We start from the raw sequence: 14,302 nt of genomic DNA, 5'->3' as shown, positions 1-14,302 counted from the left end.
GAGATTGCAGTGAGCCAAGATCACACCACTGCCCTCCAGCCTGGGCAACAGAGTGAGACTCTGTCTCAAAAACAAAAAAACAGAATTTGGGTACACCCTAGTAATGCCACAGCACCAAGTACACCACTGGTCAGGGCTGTCAATCCACTGAGCGTTCATCCCAGGACAACCACACAGCAAGTGCAGGAAAGGGGTACTTAGGAAAGTCCATGTCGTCAACTTTGCCGAAGCTGGGCCACTCTGACAGTAGATGACAACACACTGTATCTCTTATGCTCTGTGTTTCTTTTCCCAAATGTGACAAATGTCTTGTATTTGTGTCGTGGAGTTGGAGTAGCCCAGGGCTCAGCCCTCTGAACTCTGTTCTTTATCTACATTCACTCTCTAGTTGACTTCATCTAACCCAGGGCTTTATATACCAGCTATATTCAGTGTCCTCTGGTTTATATTTCCAGCCTCACCCTCTCCTGTCAATTGCAGGCATCCAGCTCCCTGTTTAATATCTTTACTTGGTTGTCTAAGAGATATCTCAAACCTAACGGTACCAAAAGTGAACTCCTAATTCTCCACCAACATCGCTACTGTTAAACTTGCTTCACCCTTTTTCAGAAAATGACAATTCAGCTCATCTAACACATTATAATTACTCTTTACTCCTCTATTTTTCATATACTCATAATTATGTTATCAGTAGATTCTATAAACTCTCATCTCAGGATATATCCTCAGTCTGACCTATTCTTGTGATCTTTCATATGTCATTCTGGCCTAAGCTTCCATCATCTCTCATCTAGATTATTACAATAGACTCTTAACTGGCCCCATGTACTACTCCTGCCTCCTCCCAATATAAATTTCTCCACATAGTGTGAAGAGATATTCTTTAAAAGCTAAGCCAGATCATGTTATTTCTCTGCTCAAAACTCTCCATTGGTTTCCCATGGCATTCAGGAAAAACAAGAAAAAAAGTTTACAATCTGAAAGGTTGTAATGAAACTGTAATGTAACTGAAATTTTACTAAATTAATCAGACTGTGAACTTTTAAAATGCAAGCTTATCATATGGAATTTACCTTTATTTTCAGGAGGAAAAAACTCAGGACTGCAGTGGACATTTGTCCAATTGGTGGCCAACAATGAGCTTTGAGTAAATTTTCTATATTGAAGGAGCTTCTCATCTTATGCATGCCATCTCTGCAAATTAGAAGCTGGGACTCAATTTTCCAGTCTCTCTTGCAACTAGGATATAGACATGTGACCTGTGCTCTGGCCATTAGTTGCAGCCTTTTGAGATTTTCATTCACAACATAAAATGCGAAAAAGCAGGCACTGACTGAATCCATTCCTGGAGTACGTAAGTAGCAGAAAGTGATGATGGTGAGCTTCTATGGACATTAGTGCCTGACATCCCAGTACTGTGGTAGTATTCACACGCTTGGTTCCCACACTGTCAGTGCCAGGCAGAGGTGAGATTGCAGCTAAACACATTCCAGAAAGGTGATTGCATCTTATCTGACCCTATTCTCTATCCAAATTGGAGGTTCTTTGACCTACCCAATATCTTCTCATAAATTTTACTTGAACCAGTTTAAATAAGTTTTGGCCATGATTGATCAGACACTACGCCTGTCAGTAAGTCAAAAAAATTAAGAGGCTGGTCTTGTGTTTTCAAAAAGAGACACATCAATGGGCTAAATAGACACAGACTGTCATCAGTAGTCTCTGATTTCATTTTTTTTAGGTATTGAAACATGATAAACTATGGTCATTGTCTTGCTTTATAAATTCCTATTATAAATTTTAATTTATAAAATATGTTTTTACTCACAGAGTATAACAGATAATTTTATTTTTCATGTGAACTGTTTTGTTAAACCCCAGTGTCTAGAAGTGTTCTAATAAAAAATGTTAAAGCTGTCTTGTTTGCAGATGAGAAAACAGCTTAGAGAGTTGTTTTTCCAGGACCTGATAGCTATTCATAGACATATCCAGGGCTACACTTGAGGCCGCCTGACTCCCAATTTCATGTATTTTTTATTTCAAGATGGTGTCTCAGTTGAAAACGGGTTGAACAGATACCTGTACATCTATGTTCATAGAAGCATTAATTACAATAGCCCAAGGGTCAAAACTACTCAAATGTCCATCAATAGATAAATGGACCAACACAATGTAGTATATACATACAATGGAATATCATCCAGCCCAGGAATGAGGTTCTGATATAAGCTGTAACATGGATGAATGTCATCAACATTATGCTAAGGGTAGTAAGCCACAAAATGACAAATGTATGATTCTTCTTTTATGGAATATCTAAAATAGGCAAATTTTCAACCACAGAAAGTTGATTAGAGGTTACCCAAAGATGCGAGAGGAGAGATGAAGGAGTTATGGCTTAACGAGTACAGAGTTTCTGTTGGGGTGATGAAAAAGTTTTGGGATTACATAGTGCTGATGGTTGTACAACCTTGTGAATATAATTAATGTCTCTGAATTGTACACTTAAAAATGATTAAAATGGCAAATTTTTCATGTATATATTTTCCCATAACTTAAAAAATTAAGAATGTAATTCCAAACGCCACTGAACTATGCCCTTTAATTGGGTGAATTGCATATCTCAATGTGAGATGATACATACATAGGTATTTGAATTATATCTCAATAGAGCTATTTAAAAACAAAATGTTCTGGTGAAAATGAGAACAATTTTTATAATACATAATACTTTTATAATACATAAGCATTAAAATATTCAAAAAGATGGTGTCTCATCCATATTCACTCAATGGAGTCAGCTTGTTGAGAAAAACAAAAGCATTCAGAAACTGGATGGTTGCAAAGCTGGAATGGACTTTTCTCAAAGATTGATGGGATAATTGGTTTGTTTACTCTATAGTAGAGCCAGATGTCATGCACTTTTAAACTTGTGAATTACAGTGTCAACGTAGTGTTCTGGTGGATGTTAATCTCAAGGATACCCAGATTTTAATCCCACCTCTGCCATTTAGTTGGTGTGTTGCATTGTCACTGGTCAATTCAGCAACACCAGTTGTATCCCTATTCAATTATAACATTATGACTATGTCAATGTTGTTCACTGCTGAGCCTAGTAGTTTACTCTGATTACATTTCCATTTTTACAGATTTTTTGTCTTTCTTGAATTGTTAATTGACTATTTCTCTGTTTGTTTGATTTTCAATCTTACCAGCTCTAATTCTTTGCTAGCTCTCCAAGAGTCTACTCTAAGTGGTATTTTTCCCAAGACAAAATGTATAAACCAAAAGAATTTTTTTCCCCCTGGAGTCATCCCTATTGGAGCTCTTCTCCTCTGGTTCCTTTTTAGCAATGTTTCTTCTCAGGCTGGCTACATGGCTGCCATCCTGGGCTTCCCTTTGCTGCTGTCTTACATTAGGGACCCAGAATTATGAGTTACTTAGGTTATAGGTTTACATACTTTTAGGTTTGTCCCATTGACTCAATGCAACATATCCTTCAGTAACTTCCTAGGCAGCAATTTCTGTATGATAAATTTTTGGGAAACATGAATTTCTAAAATGTTTCCATTCTGCCTTCATTTTTTAATATAGCCACAGCTTTATTGAGATATCTACATACCATAAAATTTACCCATTTAAAATATACAATTAAATGTTTTTGGTATATTTCCAAAGTTGTACAGCCATCACCATAATCTATTTTTAGAACATTTTATCACTGCAAAAAAAAAAATCCCTTATCACTAGCATCACTCCTTATTATCTACCTCATCCTAGTCTCTACAGATTTCCCTATTCTGGAAGTTTCATATAAAAGCAATCATACTATATGTGGCCTTTTGTGCCTGGCTTCCTTTGGTAAGCATAATATTTTGAGGTTTATTTATTTTGCAGCATTTATCAGTACTTCATTTCTTTTTATTCTATTGTTTGGATGTGACAGATTTTTATTATATAATTATAATATTGTATGGATATGACACATTTTTAATATCCACATTAGTGGATGGATAATTGGGTTGTTTCTACTCTTTGGTTACTCTGAATAATGCCTCTATGAGCGTCCATGTATAAATTTTTATGTGGACATGTGTTTTCATTTTTCATTATATATAGCTGTGGAATTTCTGGGTTATATGGTAACTCTATGTTTAAGATTTTGAGGAACTGCCAGAATGTTTTCCAAAATGGCTTCACCATTTTTCATTCCTACCAGCAATGTATGAAGATTTCATTCTGTACACATTCTCACCAATACCTTAGTTGTATGTCTTTTTTATTATAGCCACTCTAGTGGGTGTGAAGTAATATCTCACTGTAGTTTTGATTTGCATTTTCCTAATGACTAATGATGTTGAACATCTTTAATGCTTCTTGGGCACTCATACATCTTTGGAAAAATATTTATTTAAATCCTTTCCTCATTTTTAATTGTGTTATTTGCCTTTTAATTATTGAGTTATGTGACTTCTTTGTGGATATGAATTCCTGATCAGGTATGATTTGCAAATATTTTCTTTTATTCTGTATGTTGTCTTGGCACTTTCTTATTGGTATCACTGAAACACAAAAGTTTTTAATTTGGATGAAGCCCAATTTATCATGTTTTATTTTATTGCTTGAGCTTTAGATATTGTCTCTAAGAAATCATTGCCTAACCCAAAATTATGCAGACTTACTTCCATGTTTTCTTCAAAGAGTTTTATCATTTTAGCACCTATATTTAGGGATATGATTCACTTAGTTAATTTTTGTGTATAGTATGAAGTGGAGGTCAAAAGTCATCCTTTTTCTTATGGATATCCAGTTCCACCATTTGTTGAAAAACCTGTTCTTCCCTCATTGAATTGTCTTGGCACTTTGGTCAAATCCTTTATTTTATTTTCTTTTTAAGATGATGGAGTCTTGCTCCACCCAGGCTGGAGTGCAGTGGCACAATATCGGCTCACTTCAACCTCCGCCTCCCAGGTTCAAGTAATTCTCCTGCTTCAGCCTCCTGAGTAGCTGGGATTACAGGCCTCTGCCACCATGCCCAGCTAATTTTTGTATTTTTACTAGAGTCGGGGTTTCACCAAGTTGGCCAGGCTAGTTTCTAACTCCTGACCTCAAGTGATCCACCCGCCTCCGCCTAAATCCTTTATTCTTGATTGATAGTTTGGCTGAGTATTCATTCCAAAAATATGTATTAAGCCCCTATTAATTTCCAGTCTTGCTCTAGTCTCTGGGTATGCAGTGGTCAAAGACTGATAAGCCTCCTGTACACAGGCACTATCAGTGCCTTGGACCATTCAGTGTACTTTCCCCTGTGTATCTACATCTGAAAGTGCCGTGGAATTAACACTTTCCTGCAGCATCTCCCAACCAATGGCTGAGAAAAGTTAATTTGTATAATTTCTCCAGCTCTCTCTTCACTCGGATGGGGTAATTCTATAGCATTGGTCTTATTCCATTTCCCAGAGTTTCTCCATGAGAATTAGCTCTAGTCATTCACTATGATAGTTAACCTAATAATGCATCCTTATTGGCTGTTTTCCCTTCCCTATATCACCTTTGCACTTTCCTGCCATTTTTCCCTACAATTTTCAAATAAACTCTGCACTCAAGTGCTTATCTTGGGGTTTGCTTTGGGAAAAGCCCAAATTAAGGCATTCCTTACTTCCAGGAGCTTGCATTCTTTTTATTATTATTTCAATAGGTTTTGGGGGAGCAGGTGGCATTTGGCTACATGGATAAGTTCTTCAGTGGTGATTTCTGACATTTTGATACACCCATCACCCGAGCAGTGTACACTGTACCCAGTGTGTAGTCTTTTATCCCTCGCCCCACTCCCACTCTTCCCCCGGAGTCCCCAAAGTCCATTGTGTCATTCTTATGCCTTTGTGTCCTCATAGCTTAGCTCCCACTTATAAGTGAGAACACATAATGTCTGGTTTTCCATTCCTGAATTACTTCACTTAGAATAATGGTCTCCAACTCCATCCAGGTTGCTGTGAATGCCATTATTTTATTCCTTTTTATGGTTGAGTAGTAGTCCATGGTGTGTATACATATACATATGTATATATATGTATATGTGCATATATGTATATACATATATCACACACATATATATCACATATATACATATATAGCACATATATACACATACATACATACATATATACACATACATATATATATATCTCTCACATTTTCTTTATCCACTTATTGATTGATGGGCATTTGGGCTGGCTTCATATTTTTGCAATCGTGAATTGTGCTGCTATAAGCATGTGTGTGCAAGTGTCTTTCTCACATAATGACTTCTTTTTTTCTGGGTGGTTACCCAGTATTGGGATTGCTGGATCAAATAGCAGATCTACTTTTAGTTATGTAAGGAATCTACACACTGTTTTCCATAATGAGGGCTTACATTCTGGTGGAGAAGGTGGGACTATAATACATAAGGGATTTCTTTGAAGAATTTTACTATACAAAGAGCATAGGAAGAAAATAGCAGTTAGAGACATGGAGTTAAGAGATGTTCTTTTTCATGTTTCATAATATTAAGGCATGCTTGTGCACTTAAGGAAATCATCCAACATACAGGGAGAAATTAATCATGCAAAGGACAAGGGGCCTAATTGCAGGAGGGAAATCTTTGAGAAGGTGAGCGGGATCTGAGCATACATAAAAGCAATGGCTTTAGGAGCAGGGCCAGATGAACAGGAGGAAAGCAAAAAATATATAAAATTACAGGTCATAGAATCTAAGCTAGTTAAAAAGTGGGCAGATAAGGTAAGTGAATGAATTGCAGGAGCATAAAGTATTGAGGCAATCAAGGAATGAAGTTTAGAAGAAAATAGAGAAACTAGAAAGGAGAATGGGATACTAAAAACAGATTTTTGGAGGTTGTTCACATAGAGACAATTGCATGGTCTAGAGTATAAGCATGGAAAGTGTGGCTAACATGAATAGAAGATCAGATTCTTGACGGTAAGGAGGTTAAGGACCTAAGTGATTAAGGTGTTGGATGGAGAATGAATCGTATCTGTAATGTGGTGGTTAAGAATGATGAAAAGAGGACATGTGGAAAAAAAGAGAGTAAGTTACATGCCAAGTCAATGAACAAGAGCAGCAGACAGCTAGCTCGATGGTGACTAACTGCAGCACTCTGGAGTGGAGGGGACTGGGGCTTCCGGAGAACTGGGATGTTCTAGGAAGGAAAGGCAATGAGAAGGACCCCTGCCCACTTCCAGTTCCAGTGATACCAGGACCTGGGAGGACAAAAACAGTTAACAGAACTGTAACCAAATGACTATGGGGGAGGCGGTATTCCCAGAGGAGAACCTAGTTTCAGTTAGAGCAAGAAATTGAAGCCCTCCTTTGGACAAGAGGTTAAGGATATGGAAAATTTTGTTGATAATAAACTGTGAATTCCAAAGGGCACAGTGGAAGGATTGGGGCATTGGGTAACGTGAAATGTTTGGCAAATCTGGATGTACAGAATGTATAGGGATACAGGTCTGGATAATGTGGGAAGATCTAAGAATGCAGGGCTTCTGGGGACAGTGTTCAGAGTAGTAAAGCAGAATGAATGTGTCCTGATGTGGTCTGTTAGGAGAAATTGGGTAATCAGTTCTAATTTTAGCTTCCTTCATAGAACTGTTATTTTAGGCAGTTTTTAGCAGTAAAGAGAGAAATATTCAGAGACCATATTGTCTTGTCAAGAGCACAGAGATCTGTGTTCCTTACCATCAATTTAAATCCTGCTAAGGAGTGTGCCAAGACAGTATTCATGGTATTGCTCCATAATTTCCTAGTATTGCTTCCAGAAGGCTAATGCCATTATTCTATTTTATTCTTTGAGGAGCATCTCATTCCCATCCTATGGTGTCTCTTAGAGTAATCTGTTTACCCCAATGCTCTGAAATTTTAAGACCGTGTGTCATTGTGTGGGCCTTTTTTATTCATTGAGTTCAATACTTGGTAAGCCTTTTGCCTTTTCAGTCTGGAAATGAATGTTCATGTGTGTGTGGTGTGTGTGTGTGGTGTGTGTGTGTGTGTGTGTGTCTGTGTGTCTGTGAATATTTCTCATAATGGAACTTTCCTTGTTTATCATGGCTAAGAAGGATGCACTTGAAAATGGATTGGAGGATATGAGTGAATGGGTAGAAGGGAAGTGAGGATTTCACTACAGGCCTTTACTGAATCCTCCTGGTTTTAGTGTAGCAGCTCTCCCTCAGGGTCTGCGATGCCTGGTGTTGTCAAGTTCAGAGCTCTTGTGCTTCAGTTTATCCACAGAGCATATGTCCTATTCTTTGCTGGAATAAAGAAGAGGTAACTGCCTGGCTCAAAGGAAATAGGATGACTTGTTTACAATATAGAAATAGCCTCATGCCCCACCCCCACCTTCCTTGGTAGCTGGTCCTCCAACTTCTAGATCTTTCCAAGATTCTGCTATGTTAATGGAATTTCTTTTTGCTGCCATTTCCCTTCTGCAGATCCTACTGTTCAGCTGTCTCCTGTCTTTCAATACCTCCATCCCCTTTCCCTCTGTGAGCTGGTTACCTATCATTGCGTTGAACAAATCATCCTAAAACTTAATGGTTTAAAAACAAAAACAATTATTTTCTTTCCTCTCACAGTTTCTGTGGGCCAAGAATTCTGGAAGCACCCAAGTGGGGGGCTCTGTCATGCAGTTTTAGTCAAACTGTACTGGAACAGGCATGATGGGGATAGGCCAGCATCGCCCTCCATGCAGTCTAAGGGCTTTTCCATGTGATCCCTCCACATGGGTCACTTTAGTGGCCTGAAGGTAATAGGGCCTCTTACATGGTGGCTTATGGCTAAGATAAGCAGAAGCTACATGTGTGTTCTGACTCAGCATCAGAAGTCACCAAATGCTACTTCAGCTTTCCTATTGTTCCACCAGTTAGCAGATTCAAGGGGAGGGACATAGAAATTCCACCACTCAATGAAAAACAGATAATTTCCAGCATGTTTTAAACTGATGCATTCCTTTTAAAATTATTTTTTTCTTATTTCTTTTCAAGAATATGAGGTTAGAAACAGCTGTCATTTAGATCATGAATATCAGTTGCCAGCCTTTGAAACAGCAGGTAAAGTAAGTTGGAATTAATTAGCATTTAGAAAACTTGTGCACTGTATCACACCAATGCAAGAAAATGCCTGTTGTTTCTTGCAAATTACTTCGTCTATTAAAATTAGTTTGGATAGAAAGACAAAAACATAGCCAGAAGTTGAAACATTGAAAAAAGAGAAGAGAGTCCTCTTCTCCTTCTAAAATACTGTACTCATATTCATAAGTTCAAAGGTATCATCAGATGAAAAATACGTCTGAGTTTATTGCACTCAGGAGCACACTATAATTTCACATTCTGATGGAACATCCAACACACACTTCCTTATGACCATCTCTAGCACTGACCAACACAATGGCTCTGCAGAAATTTCTTTTCTCTTTACTTTTTATTTGAAAATAATTTCAAAGTTGTAGAACAGTTGTAAGAATAAAGATAGTATATCGAACACCCAGATACTCTTTACCCATTTTCACTTACTATTAACATTTTGATCTATTTGCCGTTTGTTCTATAATTTGAGTGCCTCCTCTCTTTCTCTTTCCCATTCACTTTCTCCCTATATATGTGTGTACCTAGGTAGGCATACGCATGTAACATATGCATATGTATACATCTCTGTATATATAAATGCGTAATAGCTTTACAAGCCAAGTGAGAATAAAGTTGCATGAGGTCATGATGTGTGCAACTTTACCCTCAAATGGTTCAGAAAAAATAAACACACATGCACACACACACACATACACACACACTTGATGTCCTTTATAGCATTTTTCCATGTGTCGTCTCGTTAGTTTCCTGTATATTAGAACATTTCCCCAGCCTTTCCTTTTCTTTTAAAGCAATGACATTTTGAAGAATACAGCCAACCCCCTTCTTCACTTTTTAAATAGAACCTTCCTCATTTTATCTAATGTTTCCTCGTGCATACATTAAGTTTATGCGTTCTAGCCCAGAATACTACATACATGATGTTGTATTGTTGTCTGGGTACCAAAATCAGAGGCATAGGATGTGTCCCTCATTGGTGATGTTTATTTTAATTACCTGGTCTTAGTGTTGCCCAGTATCTTCACTGTATGGTTGCTATTTTTTCTTTGCAAGTAAAAAGCAATCAGTGGGCAGGCACTTTAAGATCATGAAAATATCCTGCTCCTCGTCAAAATGTCCCCTTAGATTAAGCATCCATTGATGATTCTTGCCTGAACCAGTCTTCATTATGATGATATTATTAAATGATTAATTTCTAGGGCCATCCCTCCTTCCTATCTACAAGTTGGCACTCAGCATTCTCTCGTAAGCAAGAACCCGTCCTTATCCATATATATATGGATATATATGGATATATATATATGGATATATATATATGGATATATATATATGGATATATATATGGATATATATATATCCTTATTCGTATACATATATATGCATACATACACACGTGCATATGCACATATTTTTTATTTTTTTAATTATTTATTTATTTATTTATTTATTTATTTTAATTTTGGAGATGGTCTCACTCTATCACCAGGCTGAAATGCAGTGGCATAATCTTGGCTCACTGCAACATCCGCCTCCCAGGCTCAAGCAATCCTCCCACCTCAGCCTCCCAAGTAGCTGGGACTACAGGTGCATGTCACCACACCCAACTAATTTTTGTATTTTTTTGTAGAGAAGGGGTTGTGCCATGTTGCCCAGGCTGGTATTAAACTCCTGGACTCAAGTGATCCGCCCACCTCATCCTCCCAAAGTGCTGAAATTATAGGCATGTGCCACCATGCCTGGCTACATTTTAAATATATAAGAAATCATGAGGCCAAACATACCTCTAAATGTAACCCAGCTTCACTTGATTTCTTCATGCCTTCCTGCATTCCATAGTTTTTTGTCTCCTCCTTCATAATGAGAATCTTGGTTCCCCAAAACATTAACACATTTACTCATGGGTTTGATCCTATAATATATTTAAAATATTTCAAAAATTGTTTTGCCCATATCTCTGCAACAAATGAAACTACTAATAAGAGTTTAGGCTTGGTTTGCATCCCCCCCCGACCCACCAAGACTGAGGATATATTATTAAGTATTATGTTCTTGTATTCCTTAGATGATTTCTCCCCTTCAAAATGGTTATTTAATTCATTTGAAATAAAATAGGTTCCTTTGTTCACTCTTCATTCATTTGTATGTCTTGTCATCTGCTGTTTTCTCCACTTCCACTCATGTTCAATGTTATATCTTTGCTCTCATATTAGTGGAGTTTGGAGGAGATGTAGACAGATAGGTACATTACTCACAGTATTAACTGAACCAAAGTGATTTTTAAACATGTAAAACAAGTTAAATGTGTATTTGTCACAATAGACTTAGTTGTGCAGCAAAGCAATCACAAAATTTCAGCACTTAACATAGTCTTCCTTTTTCTCATTCATTCTACGTATACTGCATAGATGAGCTGCGTAATTGCAGTCACCCAGAGACCCAGGCTGATGGAGGAGTGGATGTGACACACTTCCGTGAATATCAGGATGGGGGAAGTAGAAAGTGATAAATAAGACACTGACTCAAAGATTTTACTGAAGCATGACATATGTTACTTCTCACATTTTATTGGCCATGTCTAACTTAAAAGTGGGCTGGAAGGTGTAATCCTACCATGTGACCATAGGAAGAGAGAACATTTGTGCACAGAGCTATCAACTGCAACAATATTTCTGGTCCCAAGTTCTCCAGTGTCTTTCTGTCACTCCTAAAATAAAATCACACTCCTTACTATGGCCTAAAATCTCTCCATGATATGACCCTTACTACTACCACAGGCTCATCTTCCACTGCTCTTCCCTTTGGACTGTACTCCACACTAGTCTCCTTGCTATTTTTCAGAATTACCAAATTTTTGCCACACCGAAAACACTTTGCAATGCTTCCCCTCTCTGGATCACTTTCTCTAATACCCTCACGTGGCCTACTGCCTCCATTCATTTAGATCTCCATTCAAATGCCACTTCCCCACAGAGGCTCTTTATGACATATGTTACTGCTCACATCTTCTTGGCCATGTCTAACTTAAAAGCATGCAGGAAAAGTGTAATCACCCTCTATAAGCACGCACACATACACACACACACACACACATATACACACTGGTGTCTCTCTCTATCAACTTATGCTACTGCCTTCATACCAATTATCACTGCCCGATATATTATCATATAATCATTTTTTCATTTACTCTTTTTCTCTAGAATAAAGCAGGCTGTTGTCATGGTGTTTATATACATTATCACCATAGTTCTAGGACCTAGAACAGTATCTAGCACAGAGGGGGTGCCCAATAAATATTTGTTGAATGCATGATTAAATGCTTCCCACACTAATAATTAGACTAAGCCCAATCACAAGCCTTATTTAGACAGGTGCTGAGGACTTAGTGAGCATTCAAGTAGAGAACTTCCCTGGGCTCTGACACAAAGGGCAGCCACCCGTTGTCATAAGTGGTTTGACCTTCCTCGCCTATGACCTTTTGCATCATGTGTATCCCCACACTTGGAAGAGCTACTAAGCAGGCCAGAGGAGAGCTTTTCCTTGACCTTCCTAGGTTTTCTCTAACTCTATGGTCTTACTTATTTCTCTGACTACATATGTTTGCATTTCACTCTTTTCCAGTTGCTGAATATCCTTTCCATGCCTTACTTACTGTGTACCTGATCCTGTTTCCCTAAAGCAAAGCGAACCATTCATTTTGCTTATTCTACTGCATGAATGCACTTAATCATTTTCATGCAAACAAAAGATAGGTAGAGGAGGGACCATGCCTTGCTGGCTGCTATATCTCCAGTGCTTCTATGCATTGGGTGTGTCCTGGTGCACAGTAGGACTCAACACATATTTGTTGGATGAACACATGAATAAATGATGACTCCCAGTTTATATTTGCTATACATTGATGGAGTACTTGTATTTCTGATATACTGTGCCAGCTGCTGAGGACTCAGAAAATAACTAGTCTTTATTCTGGAGTTGTCCTTGTCTTCTCTGGTTCTGCCTGGCTTGCTGAGCAGCAGTCTCCCCCTTCTGGGAAGGGTTCTTCCTAATACCGCTTTCGGCTGCCCTCACTGCCTCCAACACCAATTAGACAATGCCTGATAACTTCACCTGGCATTCTGTATGTTGTCTTCTGGATTCCCCACCCCTAACAAGTCCCATGCCTCCTCTTGAATCTGCCATTGCTAAGCACCAGCTGATGATTGCCCAGACAGAAGCCATCTGCTGGTTATTAAGGAAAGTTAAATAAGCAAATATGCTCCAGGGAAGTTTAGAAAAAAAAAAAAAAAGCATACGCATAGAGAATTGGCAACTGGTTGACCCCTGTGACACAAGGTTCATTGTGGCTATGTTAGGCATGCGTCCCTCAGGATTACTCAGCTTACTGGCTCATGGGAAGCCCTTCTGATGAAGCCTGCCCTCATGCTCCTCCCTAGCACAAAGGCAGCCCCCAGCACTTCATTAGATGCTTCTGTCATTCACTCTATCTGAAACACAGTCTCATTTGGGACCAGGGTGGGCCTGGTTAAGTGCATAGGTTTGGTGCTAGCCTTACAGTATTTAGTGAACTTTGTATTGGGTAGTCAACAATGAACAAAACAGACCCTACCCCTGATATTATGAAGAAGATAGTAGAGTGGTCAAAGCCATAGTTTCGATGACAGAGATGGGAAGTGGGGTAGGAGATTTGATTAAAAGCGCTGCTCAGAGGGCAATAGGGTCAAAAACAAGAATGTCAAAACTGATAGTTAAAAGCTGAGCCAAAGATATGGTATTACACCAAGGGCCAGAAGCTAGCTGGACATGGCATGTGGAAAGAGCAAGGTCGGGAGAGAAGACAGGAGGGTCCTTGGTGACTAATAAGGATGGGATTAAGACCCTCAGAGCTTACTTTCAGTCACCATACATTTCTTGGTGCACTGAGAGGTCAGAAGGGGTTTTCAGAAATAAGGTAGGCTCATTCCATGACCAGTCATTTAGTATTTGTTAATTACTACTATGTACTGGTCTTACACTATATGATCCAAGAGATAGATAAATAGGACCCAAGCCTAGTTACAGGGTTCTTAACAGGCTTACAGGGAAGATAAGGACCACATATATTGATTAAAATATTAAAACACTCAAGGTTCTGCTTCAGTTATCTGATTTTTTGCTTTATT

At 38.4% G+C, this 14,302-nt stretch overlaps 1 protein-coding gene across 1 annotated transcript in view; it reads left to right on the top strand.

Moving 5' to 3' along the window:
• The window catches only part of CYP2J2 (cytochrome P450 family 2 subfamily J member 2), a 75,905-nt gene that overhangs the window by 3,476 nt on the left and 58,127 nt on the right, over window positions 1-14,302 (top strand). Inside the window, exon 3 of the mRNA XM_047447499.1 lies at window positions 1,086-1,354. The gene's annotated coding sequence lies outside the window, so the exon portion shown is untranslated. The remainder of the gene's footprint in view (window positions 1-1,085; window positions 1,355-14,302) is intronic.

Source organism: Homo sapiens, chromosome 1, assembly GCF_000001405.40.
Source record: "Homo sapiens chromosome 1, GRCh38.p14 Primary Assembly".
Classification (NCBI taxonomy): Eukaryota; Metazoa; Chordata; class Mammalia; order Primates; family Hominidae; genus Homo; species Homo sapiens.
This window is presented reverse-complemented; position numbering and strand designations above follow the sequence as displayed.